The following is a 17,578-nucleotide window of genomic DNA, read 5'->3' as shown; positions in this document are numbered from 1 at the left end:
GCAAAGAGCACACTTACCAAAGGATGAGGACCAGCCCAGGACCAAGGCAGGAGCCTGAGAATCCATCACCCCAAGAGCCAGGACAGCGCCATCCCCAAGTCTCATGAGCTTGCCTGGAGAAAGGGGCTGATGAGAGTAGACACCTAGAGTATCCAGCAGGTCTTAGTTGTCGTCATCGGGATCCCTTCTCATGAATTTCATCAGAATGGGGCTGGTCGGGGGTGCCCGAAGCCTTTTGAGATCTCCAGGAAACCAAGCTTGACTCTGCCCATGTGGGAACAAAATCAGCTGAGAGAAACACACAAGCACGTGCCGTGCAGGTGCCCAGACGCAGACCCAGAGACAAGTATTCCAGCAAGGGCACATGGTTTATTTGGGAGGTGATTGCAGGACTGCAGGGAACGGGGAACAAGGCAGAGAGGAAGGGGCCAGCCCAGGGAGCTTCATCAAGTTGTCACTGCTTCCACAATGGCGCTCCATCCCAGGGCCTCTGGACCCGGGGAGGATAGAGCTTGGAGCATCCTCCTAAGGGCTCACTGCTGGCTGAGGGCTGTTCCCAAGAGGACAGGATCTAATTCTCTGGCACTTTGACCTGCTGTGTGCACAAGAGCACCTCCGGGAGGCATCGTGTGTGATGCCAATGGGATGTCAGACCAGAGGGCAGGGAGGGGAAAGAGCGACGGCACAGGCAGGGCCCCCAGCTGCTCTAGGGAGCCCCTCTGCTGCTGTCTGCTCTGCTCAGCACCTGGGATGCCAGGATGAGACTCTCTGCCTCCATGCTCGCTGGAGGATGGTTTTCTGACATGGCCTTTCTTTCCCTGCTCAGTCTTGCTCAGAAGCTTCTGCAGGGGTCACCCAGGCCCATGCAGGACCTTGGCCACAGGACCTCTGGGGAACATTGCTTTAGCTTTCTGAGCTCTGTGGCACAAGAGGGCAGGAGGTGCTTGGAGTGGTCTCGAGTGAGGGGGCCTGTGGTATCTACTGCACCCACCTCAGGGCCTTTGCACGCACTGTTCCCTCTACTTGAATGCTTTTCCCAGTCTTTATGTATCTGAGTTTCTCCTCGTCTTTCAGGTTCTGCTTGGATTTCAGCTTCTCAGAGAGGCTGTCACGGCCCTCTCTCTCATTCGACCTCTCTCTGTTACCATCTAGCACATCATCTGATTGCATTTTCTCCAGAATGATCTTGCTTGTTTCCATGTTTATTCTCCATCTCCTCTTCTCGACAGAAAGTTCTAGGAGAGTCACATCCTTACCTCCCTTGTTCATCGAGGTGTGCCCAGTACCTATGCCCATGCTCGGCACACAGTGGGGCCTCAGGAAGTATTTGCTGGTGAGTTATTGATGAACCCATCTCTGGGGTTGCTGTGGATTTCTCATGGCAGTGTGCACGAAGGGCCTAGCAAAATGCCCAGCGCCTAGTAGGTGCTCAATAAAATGCCAGCCCAGAAAAGGGTGAGATTAGCATCATTTTCTTGTCTAGCCTCTCCATTTTCTGAATAAGGTGACTGCAGCCCAGAGAGGGTCAGGAACTTGAAGAAGGTCACACAGCAGACCTCTTGATCCCTGCAGAAGAGGAATCAAGAACGTTGGTGTATTCCAGGACAGCCCCCTCCATTTCCACTTTACCTGTGGTAGCTCAGGCCCCTAGAGAGTCAGCTTCCAGGTTTTGAAATAATAGAGGGAAACGTTATAGCTCTTCTATTCCTCAAGAAAAATTAATTCCACTGCCAGGCATTTGTCCCCCACGCTTCAGAATCTGGGGTTCAAATCATGGCCCTGCCTTTGCTGCCGCCGTGCTTCAATGTTTCAGAGGTGGATTCTCAGGTAAAGTATTGCCATCCCAGTGGCCCTGGGCACAGCAGCGCCCCAAGTAATCTCCCTTGACACAATACAAATGGGATACAATGTCACCCAGCCTGGTTTTAAATGAGAAAGTTGGAAAAACAAAATGCAGAGGTAGGAAGCGGTTCTGATTACAAGGAGCTGAAAGTAATTGCCTTCCGGCAGAAAGCCGGGTGCACCTCCGCCAATGTGGGGGGGCCGCCTGCCCACCCCCCATCCATCATCTCATCGTACAGACTTTGAATATTAAGTAAAGTTTTATTTATGGTTCTTCTTGCGGGCTTATGACTCTCAAGCGAGGCAGGGATAATAACAAACCCTCTCACACAAAAGTTAGGCTATAAAAAAATAATTAAGGAAAATTTTCCCCGCAGTACAGGCAGCTGAGAAGCTTAGTCCTTCTGCAAACAGACTCTGCCATGGCCTTCATAATGAAAGCAAATTGCTTCTGCGCTGGAAGTGGCAGGCGCGTGGGGAGTGGGAACTCAAGCCGGCTTCTCCCCTTCTAGCTGCCCCAGTGGAGATGGGCCCTGGGGGAGGTCACAGCACCGGCATCCCTGAAAAGAGGCCCACCCTTGGTCCACCCCCGGATGAGCGAGCCCCAAGAATGCCAGGAAGCAGCAGAGGTTTTTTTTATTTTTTGTTTTGTTTGCAGAAAGTGAAAGGTGCACTTGTAGCAGGCGGCAATAGAACGACAGGCTGTTTGTCAGGGAATGTCAGCCTGTTCAACTGGCCCCAATTTACCAGGTTGGGAAACTGAGTCTGGGTGGATAAGAGGGATCAGGTTGATTCTAAATAGCCCAAGAGCAAGTTCAGGATGCCAGGCATGGGGTAGGCCCCCGGAGAGGCAGTTTTTGGCCAGAGACCAAAGGCTGGTGTTTCATCACTGCCAAGGTGGCCAAAGGTTTGCCACCATCCCTGGAAGAGCCACATTCTGGGTTCCAGGTGGGTGGCCCTTACCACCACGAGCATCACCACTCCCAGGACTCTGCTCTGTGCCAGGCACCACGCTGAGTGTTTTGTCCATGTTATTATGACCCATCCTCACAATAACCCTGTAGGCTCCTCACTGTCCCCATGCTGCAGATGGGGAAACTGAGGCTTCAGGGTTGCTCCGCATGTGCAGAGAGGCAAGGAACTTCTTGTTCTCTGAGCAAGGAGTAGTGGCTTAGACAGGCAGCCAGGGGCCGTTTCTCTAAGTGGAGACACATTGCTGAACAGAAGCCTGGTGCGTTTTTGCCCCACTTTTCCCCTTTTCTTGTCTTAGTCTTCTGTCATCAGCCAGGAGCCCCGTGTGGACATTCACTTTAGCAACTTCATTTACTAAATGGTATGCAGCACATATTTCTGTGTTTGGAGCACATGAATTCAAGCAATAAATATTTACCAATGGACAGCTCTGTGCATGGCAGGAGGGACACCGCAGGAATAAGACAGACACAGCACGCCCTGAGAACAGACTGGGGGCGGGCATGGCACAGTGTCCCCGTCAGGCAGACAGCGTGTGCGAAGATCGTGAAGTGGAAGGAGTGTTTTCCCCCAATTGTTCTTCTGTCGCTGTATGTCAGCCAGCATTGAACATTTGTTTCTGCAAGAGTGTCTGTGTGTGTGTGTGTGTTGGAGCAAGGCGGGGGTGGGGCAGTTTGCACGTTCGCGTATTCAACTGATACTGGTATCAGCACTGTGCTCAGTAGGAGGACGCAGGAGTAAAAGCTAAGTGCTCTCAGCCCTCAGGAATCATAGCTCTTATCAGGCTTAAAAGTGCTCAAGGAGGCTCCTAAGAAGAGCCCCAGCTCCCAGAGTTCCAGGGCTGTGGGCCGTGCCTTCCTCCTCACCTCAACATGCAGCTTCCTCGTCTGGAACGCTCTCCTTGCTGATTGTCAAAATGTTCTTCACTCCTGGGAACCCAATGTCAGGGTCACCGCCTCTGGGAAGCCTTCCCTCAGTCCCCCTGGCTGGAGCTGTGCCGAGGCAAGGAGGAGTGCGTCAGAGGGTCTCAGGCTCGCCCTCCTGTGTGAAGGCCCCAACGCCAGCCCAGCACCAGCACCTGGCAGGCCTCCATTAACTGTTTCGAGGGATGGGCCCCATGTGGGAATGAAGACCCCGGGAAGACACAGCCCCCCAGTGACCTCCTGCTAGAAGGACACGCCTTCATGTCAGAGGAAGCCAGCCTGCAGCCAGCCTGAACCTCCTTAGAGGAAGTCATTAAAACAGACGGGGGCACAGAAGCCTCAGCCCAGCCTCTGCAGCCAGTTCACCAGACTGAATTGCCAGGGACTGGGTGCTCAGGAGATGCCTGCACAGAAGGACAAGTAGGCTGAGGCTGGCGGTCCCATGATCAGTAACCAAGCAAAGCACCGGTCACAGCCAGACCCCCAATCAAAGCCCCCTCCTCATGCGGCCACTCCGTCCTCCTGAGGCAGAGAGGCAGGTGGGCAAGAACCCAAACCTAGGAACCCCAGACACAGGGGAACTTGGGGGATGGGACATCCTGAGACCCAGCCCAGATGAATGGAGCAGAGCACAGAGAACTGGGCATCACTTTTGCCCAGCTCAGCTCTGCTGGGCCCAGCCTGTGCTGTGCCAGGGGAAGGCCTCATCATGCCTGGGTGCCTGGGTGCGGGGCGGGGGTTCCAAGGCATTCTAGCCCAGGGAAGGCTGCCTCCATGGCTGTGCACCAGGACGCCTGCCTGCCTCCCCGACATGTGCTGACTGGACTCTGCCCCCAGTGGCTCTGGACACAGCCCATTCCTCTCAGGGCATGGCCTGGGACTGTGTGTACATGGGGGAACATATGAGTGTGTGCGCAGGTGTGTGTGAGGGTAGATGGTGTGAGTACATGTGCACCTGTGTGCATGTGTGAGGCTGCTGGGTGGTCCGTAGCTTACAGATCAGCTATAGCAGGGTTTCTTGAAGAGCCAGCAGTTGACCCCCTCCCTTCCTCAGCCTGATTCCAGAAGCTTCCTTCATGCCCACCCCTCACCGCTGCCCCTGTCCATCTTGGTCTGCCTCCTCTTTGTCTTCTGTGCGCATCTCCCCCTGCACTGGACAGGGCTCTTGGCACTCCTTGCCTCTCAGACTCCATCCAGGAAGCCAGAGACCACTGCCCCTTCTCATGCCTCCGACCCCAGCCAGCCGCTGAGTTAGCATTGGGGCGAGCCACCAGGCCAGGCCCACTGTGCATGCCTGGTGTCCCAGGTGTGGTCACAACTGGCCAGGTGGCCAGGGGAAGCTGCATGGACTACAGGAAGATCTGGCCACGGCTGCTCTGGGTCCTGAGGCCAAGCGGCCCCCTCCGTGAGAGCCCAGCTGCCTGGCACTGCCACAGGGACTGTTTTTTCGAGATGAGACCAGGCATCAGCGTTTAGGGGACAAGAGAGGGCTAATACCCATGTCCACCCAGCCAGGGAACATTTGATCCACTGGCGAGCAGCGAGGGGCCGCTTCCGGCCTCCCGGGCGCCGCTGCTCTCCATCTGTGTGCGTGGCTAATGAATGCTCCTCAGGAGGCCTGGAGAATTCGCTTCCCGGGGCCCAGTTGCCTCCTGGAACGTGAGTGGGTGACCGAGGACATTTCGGGCAGGGTGCCCAGCCACCCCTTCTTAATAACCGTATGGACATCCATGTTCTGCCCAGACCCTCTGCTGCCCAGGGAGACTCCCGGCCCTGCATGTGGGCCAGGCTCCTGCCTCGCCCTCTCCAGCCTCAGTCTCCCTCCTACGCTGAAAGGCTGAGTCTGGTGATTTCAAACCTTCTTGCTATAAAGCATAGTTCTCCAAACATGCTCTCATACACGTGCCCCAAATGCACAAAACAGATCAAAATGGCCCAGGAGGGCTGGGGCCACATAGACAACCAGGGCAATGCAGGGCCCAGGGTGGATGCTGAGGGCCAACATTCCTGCACTCAGCCTTGGTGGGTCACTGCATCTCTCTGAGCCTCAGTTTCCTCATCTGAGAAATGGTGATGATGTCGTCCTCCTGGAAGAGGTGAAGCTCAGTGTCTTGCAGGCCAGGCTTTGTCCTCTGCCTCCCCAAGCTCACGTTCCTCACCTGTAAAATGAAGAGACTCAAGCCCCACTCGCCTCCCAGAAGGCCATGTGCTATTCAGACCCGTGATGGTGGCTACAGTCACACAGGCGGCTGGAGAGAGGGGGCCAAGAGCCTGGGAGAGGTAGGGCCAGGGGAGTGAAGGCTGAGGGCTGGGGGACTACCGCGGGTGTTCCGCTGAGGCGTCAGCTCTCTGCAGCCCCTCTCCAAGATGCCTGAGGTAGGCTTGGGAGGCATGAGGGCGACCTCAGCACTTTTCACCAGCTCCACCCACCTCACAACCCCCTGGACGCCTGGAGATGCAGGCCAAGACTGTCTGAGCTACTGGCATAGTCTGTACTTATCCCCCTGAATTCTTCCCTGTGTCTCATGAGAAGGAGAAGCACAGTCTCACATCTCCAAAGCCAGAATGATGAGGGGGTCCACTCTGTCCCTGAGCTCTTTTTCTTCTTTGTCAATAATATAAGGAGGGCACCAGCCTGTCTGACCCTAGAATCTATCACTCTGCAATGCCTGCCTGGATGGCTGCTGATCTTCACCCAGAAAGCCAAGGCTGTTGAGATAACAGTACCAACTCAAAGAGAAAGGAAAGCACGGGATCGCTGTAGCAAGGGGCCAGGCAGCATTCTAGTCCTTGGATGGGGATCCATGGGGGAGGTGTCCCTGGGCACAGCACATTCCTTCCCTGTGCAATGGAAATCCCTGCCCCCAGGTGAACACAGTGGGAAGGGCTGGAGAGTGGAGAGCAGGGACTCGGCCAGGCTGGCTCTGACCCACTCAGTCCTCTCTCACCTGCTCTGTCTGTCTGGATCCCATTGAGTGCTCAAGTCACTAAAGCACTACCGTTTACAGTCATTTGCTAAATGGATGGTCCACACCTGGGCAGTTTGTCCCAAACCCTGAGGCAGGGTTCATCCTGCTGTTCCTGAACAAGAACTTCCAAGGCTGGTCTGGGGGAATAGAATCTTCTAAAGTTTTCCAGGTGATTTTCCACAGTCAATGAGAAGACCTGGGTAAGGGTCCATGAGCCTACACGCTACCAAAAGCGCCTGGGAAAGCGCAAGGGGGAAAGCCCAGGTGTTAGGTTCCGAAGGCGCTGGGGAAGCCAGGCTGCCCCGAGAACGTCCCCCTCTGAGAGATTTTAGGTGAGTCACCTCTCTGGGACTTCAAGAGCCAGCCCAGTAGCACCCTCCTCTGGGATGGAACCATTGGTCTTTCTCCCGCCTTCCTTCTGTCTTTGCCCCGACACTGCCACCAAGGCACTCGGCACAGTGAGTGTTGCTTCCCATGGAGTGTGAGCCACCGACTGCCACCACCACCAGCTCATGCCTCTTCTGTGCCAGATGAGTCAACTGCCTTAAGTAATTCTCACAGCAACCACCTGCCATTCTGCCCACTTTCCTGGTCAGTAAACAGTGCCTCACACAGAGTTGCAGCCTGGCTGAGTTGCAGCTCAGCTCCACAGACTCAGAAGCAAGTCAGCTTTTGATCACGGAACCTCCTGGAAGGCAGAGTCCCCGGACTTCGCCCTCCCGCCCTCCCTCTCTTCCTCTTGCAAACAGTTGTTCAAGGTCTGCTGTGTGCCAGGCATTGTCCCGGATGCCAGGGCTGTGAAGACACATCAGAACGGCCTGCCAGGGGAGACAGATGCTGGGGCAAATGCTCCCAGGGCAGGGTGGCAGGAGCTGGAACCGAAGGGAATTCAGGATGCCATTTAGACTACAGGGTCACAAGGAGGAAAAGGATGTCTCTTTGGGGGTGGGGTATGGAGAGACGCCACAGACAAGGCAGAAAGTCTTTGTTTTCCTGGGGCCCCCAGCACACAGCAGGAATGGCTAAAAGCCTAGAGGACACAGCAGAGCTTCCAGCCTGTTTCTTGCTCGTCTCAGTCATTGAAACTCCTCAATTTCATGATTGTACCAGCCCACATCTGTTTATGCGCTCATCGGAATCCGCGCTGACAATGTATTTGTTTAATTTCCAGCAAGAAGGGGAAGATTTGTCAGGGTCAGGGATACGTCTTGCATAAAACATTCTGATTAAACTCTGTTGGCCAGAGAATTACTTTCCCATCATACTTAGAGAAATCTAGTTGTTTCCTAATTGGAGTCGCTGCCTCGCCAGCGTGTTCACCATTTACAGTTCACTCTCTGCCAGATGTTGCTTGATTGTAAATTCCTCCCCAGAAGGGGGCCCCAGGTGTCTTGGGAGAGGTGCTAACTGGCACAGGCCATGGGAGGCCTCTGCATGCTGAGCTGGAGGAGAGCCAGTGTCCTAACTGGAGGCCGGGAAGAGAACGTCCTTGTCTACAGTGGCCGAGGGGGGTGGTTATTAAAAAACATGGGACCAGGGCCAGGTGCGGTGGCTCATGCCTGTAACCCCAGCACTTTGGGAGGCCGAGGCTGGTGGATCACAAGGTCAGGAGTTCGAGACCAGCCTGGCCAGTATGGTGAAACCCTGTCTCTACTAAAAACACAAAAAAATTAGCCGGGCATAGTGGCACACACCTGTAATCCCAGCTACTCAGGAGGCTGAGGCAGGAGAATCGCTTGAACAAGGGAGGTGGAGGTTGCAGTGAGCCGAGATCAAGCCACTGCACTCCAGCCTGGGTGACAGAGCAAGGCTCTGTCTCAAAAAAACTAAAACAAAAAAACCATGGAACCAGCAGAGTGTCTCAGCATCATCAGCTGTCTGATAGGTGAGAGCCCACTTGGAGCCAGAGATGGGGAGGGCTATTGTGCTAGCTTGCTGAGGGCTGAGTCGGTCCTTGGCCTTGACAGAAGGGGCCGGCAGAGGGGCACTGCAGGAAGCCAGCAAGCAGGAGGCCTCACTCAGCCTTGGATGGGGCAGAGAGATCGCCAAGAAGGCGCAGTAAGGAGCTGTCTGCCTCCCGAGAGGGTTTTGGGTGAGGACAGACTTTGAGTCTGTCTTGAGGAGAGTGGGGGGGAAGCAGGAGGAAGAATGGGGAGCCACCACTTACTCTATGTCTATTGAATGCCAATTCTTCATATATGTAGCAGTCCTGCTAAGTAGTGGTTATTACGCCTATTTTTCAGATATGGAAGCTGAGGCTCGCAGAAGTATAGTGGCTCATCTGGAGTCACAGCCAGAAAACAGAGGCACAGGAATGTGAACACAGGACCCAGGATCAGTATACCTGGAGCCTGGCCCACCGCACACAGTAAAAACCACAGGAGGGCAGAGGAGGGGGAGGTCACCACAACCCTTGGTGCACGACCACCCACAGGAATACAGAGGTCTCTTTTCACTGTGCTGGCATGGCTCATGATCAGTCAGTATACAGGAGACACAGACCCTCCCACAGTGCCCCTTCCACGTTCACAGCAGACATTGCTAATCAATCACAGCATGCCTCCAAGCACCAACACCAACAATCAGGGTTGGTAGACTGGATGGACCAATTCGCCATCCTGGGCTAGTTCTTTGATTTTAGTGGCTGAACTGTTCAATGCAGCAGCCACGAGCCACATATCGTTACGGGGTGCCTAAAATGGAACTCACATCTAAAGTGCATTTAAGTACAAACAGCATGTTGGATTTCGAGACACAGTCTAACAAAAAAAAAGTAAAGTATCTAATAAATGTCGTGTTGATTACATGCCAAGATGATACTATTTTGGATATACCGAGTTAAAGAAAATATAACACTAATTTCACTTTTCTTGTGTACTTTTTAGAAATGTGGCTTACGTTCGGTTTCCGTTGGACAGCGCTGGTCTCGAGTTCAAGCTGTGCCAACAGCGCCCCTGGTGGCCGAAGTGGGTAAATTCATCTGACCAAGGGCCTGTTTTTCTACTGGAGACCCTGCGCAGGTTACTCCACGGTTCTGCACCTGTTTCCTCATCTGTGAAATGGGGACAATAATAGTTCCTATCTCATAGATTGCAATTCAGGAATAGATGAGTTAAAATATGGAAAGTATGTGAAGCAGCACCTGGCACCGTAATAAACGCTGAGTGACAGTTGGCTATGTTTTTATTATAGCATCTTGTTGACTGGGAGGTAGATTGCAGGCCCTTTTCTCTCCTGGGCCTCCCGATCTTGGCCCCACTCCAGAGCAGCCTCCACTCCCCAGGAGAGATAGGAGCTGACGTCCATCAGGAAGAGCACAGCTTCCTGCTGTGTACACCGGAAGAGGCCCCACCAGGCCAAAGCCATGAAGCCATCACTGGAGCCACTTCCTGTGTCTCACTAATAAGCTTCCCCATCACCCCTCACTGGGGTTCTGGTTCCTACCTGAGCTCTTGAACCCTGAGCCCAGTTCAAATCTCTGGAGTCCTCAAAGCCCCCGACACTCTTGCTGTTCCCTGACTCTCCCCACAGCATGGTTGCTGACACTGATCCTTCCAGGAAGCTGCTTAACTCAGTCCCATTTCCCAACAAGCTCTGAGAGTCATTAAAAATAATAATAGATGTGCCTTTGCAGATATAAAGCAAGAATGGCTAGTTGTGGCATTTCTGCAAAGCTTAAAAAACACAGAAAAATTATTTTTAAAAAAGGAGGGGGGAAAGGCTTTTGTAATTCCACCACCAAGAGTCAGCCACTACTTACTATCTTCCTAGCTCCCTTTCTAGAGCAGTGCTGTCCAATAAAAATGTAAAGTGAGGCCGGGTGCAGTGGCTCACACCTGTAATCCCAGCGCTTTGGGAGGCCGAGGTGGGAAGATCACCTGAGGTCAAGAGTTCGAGACCAGCCTGGCCAACATGGCGAAACCCTGTCTCTACCAAAAATACAAAAATTAGCCGGGTGTGGTGGCATGTGCCTAGAATCCCAGCGACTCAGGAGGCTGAGGCAGAAGAATCGCTTGAACCTTGGAGGCGGAGGTTGCAGTGAGCCGAGATCACGCCACTGCACTCCATTCAGCCTGGGCAAAAAAAAAAAAAAAAAAATGTAAAGTGAGCCACATAAGTAATTTCACAATTTCTAGCAACATGTTTTGAAAAGTAAATTTCACCTGGCTCTTAACCAGGTGAAATTAATTTTAACAATATATTTTATTTAACCCAATGTATTCAAAATATTATCATCTCAATGTGTAATCGATGTAGAAATCTTCACGAGATCGTTTACATTCTCCTTTTGTACTAAGTCTCTGAAGTCCCGTATGCTGCTTGCACTCACAGCACCTTTCGATTTGGTCAAACTGCATTTCAAGTGTTCAGTACCCATGTGGCTCATGGCTGCTATATCAGAGAGTGCAGGTCTAGGGTGCTTTTTAAAGCAAATGGGCGAGTGTTGAGTGTGACAATGTTGGACTGTCAAGGCCTGTAGAGTTTGGGACCCTGCTAGTCCACACTTGCCCCTGAGCCTTGCAATAATGAAATCCCTTCCTTCCTCAGGGCCAGCTGCTCCATGCACACCATATAGAATCTATACACTCTTTCCCAAGAGCTCCATGCACTATTAGGTGGGGAATCATTGGATGTCAGGAAAAGAAAGGGCAAGATAGCTCCATGGTGCCCTGGGTCGACGATGGAGAAGCATGCCTCTGAGAGCCCTCCAAGGTTAAGAAACAGGGAGTCCCCAGCACCCCTCAATCATCCTCATTCACATTGCTACTGCCCCGTTTTCCACACTTCAGTTTCCTCGGATTTCGTACTCCAGGCAGAAGCTCCAAGACGCCTAGTACTTCAGGTTTGACATCCTGCCAGCTTGGGCTCCAAGCAATGGGCTCCCCGTACATTGCGAACCGCGTGTCTCCCAAGATGAAAGACTGTAAAAAAAAGATAAAAATAGTTCCCGGGAAAGGGACTGCTTCAGCTGGCCCAGTTTGTAGAGTCCCTGTTTCATCTCTGATGTGAATAATTCATCTCTTCTAAAGTGCTGCTGTTAAGTTAGGAGCATCATTATTGCATTTTTTTTGATGAGGCACTTCTTAAAAAATCATAAACACCCAGCACATTAAGAGGAGAGCCTGAAGTACGTCATTTAGAGCCATTTGCTCAGGCAGAACCCAGCGCTTGTGATCCGTGCCGTCAGCTTGTTCCCTAAGCTGACATATCAAAGCTGCCTTTGGTTTCCTCCTTTGCTTAGACTAGGGAGTATGACCTTGCTTCTTTTGAAGAGTTTGCAGAGGTGGCCCTGGAGAAGGAAACAGTCCGGCCTGGGAAGCAGGCGGCCGGAGGGCTGGCCCTTGCTCTCTTTGGCCTCTTCTCAATTACCTTGTGAAGACAAGCACAAGTAAACAACTCTGGAGTGAGGCCAGCTCAGTATACATTCTTGAAGAAGCCGAAGGGCACTGCGATATGAATAATAATATGAGTAACAGTGACTCATGCCACCATTAATTGATCACTTACTACATGCCAGGCCGCCCACACTAAGAGCTCTAGATGCATTATCTCATTTCATCCATGCAACGCTATGAAGAGGGACACTCCTATTATACCCATTTCACAGATGAGGGCACTGAGGCACGGAGGGCAGGGATGAGTCATTTGCAGGGCTGTCTGCTCCTGTCCTTCTCCACCTCTCTCAGTGGGGAGGGACACTCCCCTCCAATTGCTGATAGTCCCTGGAATCCCAGCTGAGCCCAGAGCAGGTCTGCAAAGAGGTCACTGAACTCCGTGATAGTAAGGTCAAGGCCACCCTGAAACCAGCCATCTCCTACAGAGCCAGGCTGCCCTCCCCTTGCACACAGGCTGCCTGGGCTTAAGTTCCGCCAACAGACTTGGAGCAGGAGGGCTGCGGGCTGCCCTTTGTATGCACATGCGTCTCCAAACCAGCCTTTTTACAAAATGTATTTTAGTTGTGGGATCCTTTATTCCCGTGAATTCTTATCCAGAAGCCCAAAATGTAGAATAGATTTTCAGGGAGTTTCCCTGGTTGAAGGGAGGCATGGGGGACCCAGAGACCCCTAGAACAGCCCTCTCAGCACCCTGGACCTGGGTGAACCAATGCTCTGAGTGACTTCTTTGTTTGACGAGACGGGTCAACTGAGTCCCGGGGAGGGCAGCCACAGGGCTAACATTTACTGCGCACTTGCCGCGAGCCTCACTGTGCGGAAGCTCTCTCGTTCTCTCCGGTTACCCCGAAGCCTCAGGCTCCCCTAGTTCACCAAGCCCAGGTTTCTGGGAGTGAACCTGGTCCCGCTGCCTGCTCCACACCTTGTACATCTTTGTCTCAGGTCTCGAGGGACAGGATTGAGGTGGCCCTGTCCCTTCTGTCCCCTCCATCCCCAATGACAACTGATGGGTTCCAGGTTTTCTGTTTCCCTTTAGCAGGAAAATGGAGCCCAGAGATTTGGTCTGGCTTCCCACGTGAAAAGTCCACCTGCTACTTGGCCGGTGTAGGTGTGGGCTGACCAGGTGCCTCCTGGCCTCTGGGGCCTCCTTTCTGGCACAGTAGAGCCGGGGTGGAGGGCGGCCCCACGGGGACAAGGCTTGGCAGAGCCAGAGGTGAAGTGGCCGGCATGGCAGCTATCCACAGCTGGGCCCAGGCCTGCCCCAGTGGTAGACACAGGGGCCCAGCTCAGGCCCCATAAGGAGGAAACTAGAAACAATTTTCCTCACCTCGCACAAATCCCATCCCAAATTCCCACCCACCAGCTTAGAGGGAGCGGAGGCCTGAGCTCATCTTCTCACGTGGAGCTCGGGCATGGTGCTGGGGCCCCAAGGCCCCGGAATCCCTGTCTGGGCCTCTGATCCCTGTCTTCAGAAGGTGGCGAGCCACCCTTCCGGCCTTAGGCCTGCTGACATGGGACCCAGTGTCTGTTTGTCCAAGTTCAAGGATTATGAAATGTGGGTTATTGCCCTGCTCTGCTGATACTGGCTCTGTGGGGCCTCCATCCCAACCCCCTGATCGCAGAAGCCCCAAGCTTTCTGGAGACGCTTGGCCTCGTTTTATTCTCCCAAGAAGACCCTGCGGTGGGCAGAGCAAGACTTTTAGCCCCATCTCCCTAGCGGGAGAACTGAGGAGTCACGGCAGTGCCCTGGCCCCAGCTAGCAGAAGTCTGGCAAGCTCCAGGGATTTCGAATCCTCTTGGGAATTCTCGCAGGAGCCAGTCCCCTTTTTGCCAAGTGACTCCCACACAGACCCATCAAACTTTGCAGGTCCCCATGGGGGAGCAAACTTTGCAGGTCCCCTGCAACTGGACGGGGACAGCCCTGAGTGGTGAAGCGGGGCTCTGTGGCATATCCCCCGGCAAGGAGCCCCCCTGGCCACACCCACTGTCCAGGGATGCTGCCCCCAGCCAGACCCTCAGCCTCCTAGTCCTGGACCGAGACAGGGTGGGCTCGGGCCACACATGAGACCTCCCGTATATGTCCTGGGCTAGCACAACTGCTGGGTTGGCCAGCACTGGGCTAGGTCTGACCCCAAGATGGAATAAACAAAGGAAAATCCATGACAACTGGACTTAGCTCAGGGTGGGCCCTGCCCTGACATCCTCTCATCCCGCAGAGCTGCCCACACACTCAGGGGCATGGAGGAGCCACAGGCTGGCCAGGGGCCCAGCACCCTGGAGGACACAGAGAGGCACGGAAGTCACCTGGGCTGGAGGGGAGGAGTCAAGGCAGCCCTCCCAGGGACAAGGCCCTTCCGGCTGCAGCTGCAGAGAGGGAGGGAGGAGGAGGAGCAGGTCTGCCCTCTGTTCTGACACCAGGGGCCTTCTGGAGCTCCCCCAATGCTGCTCTCCCCATGCTCCTCCTCCCCTCCATGGCCTAGCCACCTCCCCTTTGCCCTCCTGGCTGCAGCCTCTGCTCCCCTCCCCATCCCACTTGCCTGAGCCAGCGCCACCTGGCCACATCCTGTATCTGCCCTCACTGCCACTCCCCAGGGCCCCTAGTAGCCCCCTGCTGTCCACAGGGACAGTCCCACCCCTCCCCACCGGGAACAGAGCCCAGCACCATGTGGCCCCTCAGGCTGTCCAGCTCCAGGACTCCTGTCCTGGCCACACCCTGCACTGTGGCCCCAGGTGCTTGGGGGCGTTCCCTGCACCTCCAAGCTTTAGCCACAGGTGCATCCTCCTGCTGGAAGGTTCTCCCTCCCCTCCCCACCTACTGTTCTTGCCCCAAGACTGGTCTTCATAGCCCGTCTCTGGGGCCTCTCCCCATTCCCTGGCTCATCCACAGTGAACCCCTCCTGGCTTGTCCAGACCCCACCTCACCTGGACCACAGCTTGTCACAGTTGGCCTGCATGCCAGACAGTGGCTCCTCGGGGCAATGACAGCATCTTTCTTTTCTTGAGCTTCTCTGAGGCCAGCCCAAGACACAGTTCAACCCGTGTTTGTTGAATGAATAAATGACCTACAATGGGGCCTTACCCTTTCACACCCAGGACAAAGTCATTTGCTCCCTCCAGGTTTACTTTGCTTTACTTTGCTAAACCACCACGCTTGCTCTCCTCTGCTTCACTCTTGCCTCCCACTGCCCACACCGAGTGTCCACCTTAAAGGGAACCCCAGAGCCAATGAGGGAGGCATGAAATCCTGACTTCCGACTCCTCCCCACCTGAGCTCCTCCCACTGGAACCTCCTGATGGGGCAGAAGGTTCAGGCTCACCTGAGCTGGGACCTGCCTGTGCTCCTAAGGGCATGGCCTTTCCGGCAGTTGGCTCCAAGTCACTTTGGAGAGACATTAGCATCCAGGCTCCTCTGACCCTCGAACGGGAGTTGCTTTTTGCGCCTCCCGGCAGGGAGCCCCCAGTGTCCTTGTCTTCTGGTGTCACCTGCTTCACAGCACGTCTCCCAAAATGCTTCAGAGCATTTCCATTTTTCCACGAAAGAAATGACCCGTTTCCTGGGCTCCTTTCTCCTCTGTGCCTCTGTGGCAGAGAGAGCTGCCTTTGTCGTAAAATAATTTCGGGCGCTTGCCTCTCTCTCACGCACAACTGTTCAAGGCTCTTTCCTCCGACTGACTTTCATGTCGCAAAACTCTATTAAGCTTTCATCTGCCTGGGGGAGCCGTGCCTTGAGGAACCAGGGAAGGGAAGGAGTGCTCCGGACAGTGCGCAGGGGATATGTAAATGGGTGCAGAACCCAGAGCCTGCCTCTGCCCTCCAGTCCACCCACCCGTCTCCAAGCGAGAACCGCCCTGCCTCGCGCTCCCCCGCCTGTTCTGGAAAGGGCGGTGTGAGGCAGGCAGGGCAGAGCCACCCTGAAATCCTCATCTGGATTTTTTGTTCATTCCAGTGGCAAAGAAGCTCACTCCCAGGAAACCGGGTGCATTCGAGGAAGGTGCTTTGGTGGAAAGAGCACTGGGGCAGGAGTCCAGGCCTGGGTTCGAGTGACAGCGGGTGCTGATTCCTCAGGGTTTCCACACTTCCTGGCAGGGAGGGCCTGGCTGCGTTGCCGTCTCTAATATTTGCCTAATATAGAATGGACCACTTGCTGGGACTCCACACATGTCTGAATATCCACCGCCGCAGGATTTTGTATTCCTTCTCTCTAAGAGGAACCCCCTAACTGTGTATGCTGAGATGCCACCAGGCTGGACGTCCCCATCAGAGCTGCCACATCTCCCTGCCGTGTGGCCCTGGGTGAGCCACCTTCTCTGTGTGCCTCAGTCTCCCAACTGTGTTTCCTCAGTGTTGTGAGGACTGAGTTCCATCGCAAACCACTCTCGCATGTGCCAATGGAGTGTTATGGTTTCCAAATACATGCACCCATCATGGGCTCTAATTCCCACCAAAAAAAAAAAAAAAAGCTCTGAGGTTTTCACCAGTGAGCCAGCTGATAGCAGCCAAACCAGAGCTGGGTTCAGGGTAACCAGCCTCCAACCATTTCAAAGCAGCCTTCGGACCTAACTTTCCATTTCCTCTGGGCAGCTGCTGTCCTCCAAGACTCCAGCTGGGGAAGAGAACAGCCCCATCTTCTTTCTCCACCTCTCAGCCGTGAGCTGGCTGTTCACAAATCACTCACTCTTCATTCTCACAGCAACCCTCACCAAAGCCCCGTGTCACAGATGAGGAAACTGAGGCTCCACAGCAGGAACCCGCTTTCCCAAGGCCCCATCTGTCTCCCGGTGAGCTCCTTCCCAGTGACATAGCACATGCTCTGTCTGTGCAAGTCCTGAAGCCACCACCTGTTTTACCTGACTGGAGGCTATCCTGCAGCAGGACACAGAGGGCTGGGCTGGGCTGCCTGATTCCGTTTCTGTGCTTCTGTCTCCTCTTTGCCCAGTGCTGCCAGCCAACATCCAGCTGCCCAGGGAAACTGCAGCCCCAGCAAGATGGGCCACCCTGGGCCACCCCCTGAACTTCCAGAGCCATCGGCTCTGCCCATCTGTGCCCATCTGTCTCACCTGTAACCCTAATGGCAGCCTCTGTTCAGGACCACCAGCAGGAGCCAGGCCTCCCCACACCTCACAGTGCCACCTCTCCAAACCCATCCCTGCCATCTGGAGCCCAGGGGACAGTCGGAAGCCTGCTGAGGGAGGAGGTCAGGAGATGGAGGCTAAAGGGGAGAGCACCAGAGTGAGGAGGGGCTCCAGAAGCTAGGCTGAGGGCAGACCCTGCTGCCCCCCAAAAAGTCACCATCCAGTGGGGTCATTATTTTTCAATCGGGGAGGCTTTGTACATGTATTTCTTAAAAATGAGGAGGGAAGGACGTCTGCAGGAGCGTTTCCTGTGTTGGAGTCACCAGCAGCTCACGCCTCATTGCTCCCGTCTCCTCCAGCTGTAATTAAGCCAGAGACACCAGGCACTGCTGCCTGCCCAGCTCCAG

At 54.3% G+C, this 17,578-nt stretch overlaps 1 long non-coding RNA gene across 1 annotated transcript, besides 2 other annotated features; it reads right to left on the bottom strand.

The window, feature by feature from the left end:
* LINC00523 (long intergenic non-protein coding RNA 523) lies at positions 383-15,859 on the bottom strand. The gene is made up of 2 exons (NR_024096.1): positions 15,417-15,859; positions 383-1,566 (listed from the first exon to the last, which is right to left on the bottom strand). It is a non-coding gene; the product is annotated as a long intergenic non-protein coding RNA 523 (long non-coding RNA).
* Positions 6,028-6,529: an enhancer, noted in NCBI's record as "H3K4me1 hESC enhancer chr14:101132935-101133436 (GRCh37/hg19 assembly coordinates)". NCBI's record gives its function as "activates a minimal SCP1, AML or CMV promoter by ChIP-STARR-seq in naive H9 embryonic stem cells {active_cell/tissue: H9 hESC(naive)}" and the evidence as "EXISTENCE:reporter gene assay evidence [ECO:0000049][PMID:30033119]".
* Positions 11,406-12,605: an enhancer, noted in NCBI's record as "P300/CBP strongly-dependent group 1 enhancer chr14:101126859-101128058 (GRCh37/hg19 assembly coordinates)". NCBI's record gives its function as "activates an origin of replication core promoter dependent on BRD2, BRD4, P300/CBP, MED14 and CDK7 cofactors, with strong dependence on P300/CBP, by STARR-seq in HCT116 cells {active_cell/tissue: HCT116}" and the evidence as "EXISTENCE:reporter gene assay evidence [ECO:0000049][PMID:35650434]".
* Positions 15,860-17,578: the final 1,719 nt, after the last annotated feature.

Source organism: Homo sapiens, chromosome 14 (assembly GCF_000001405.40).
Source record: "Homo sapiens chromosome 14, GRCh38.p14 Primary Assembly".
Classification (NCBI taxonomy): Eukaryota; Metazoa; Chordata; class Mammalia; order Primates; family Hominidae; genus Homo; species Homo sapiens.
This window is presented reverse-complemented; position numbering and strand designations above follow the sequence as displayed.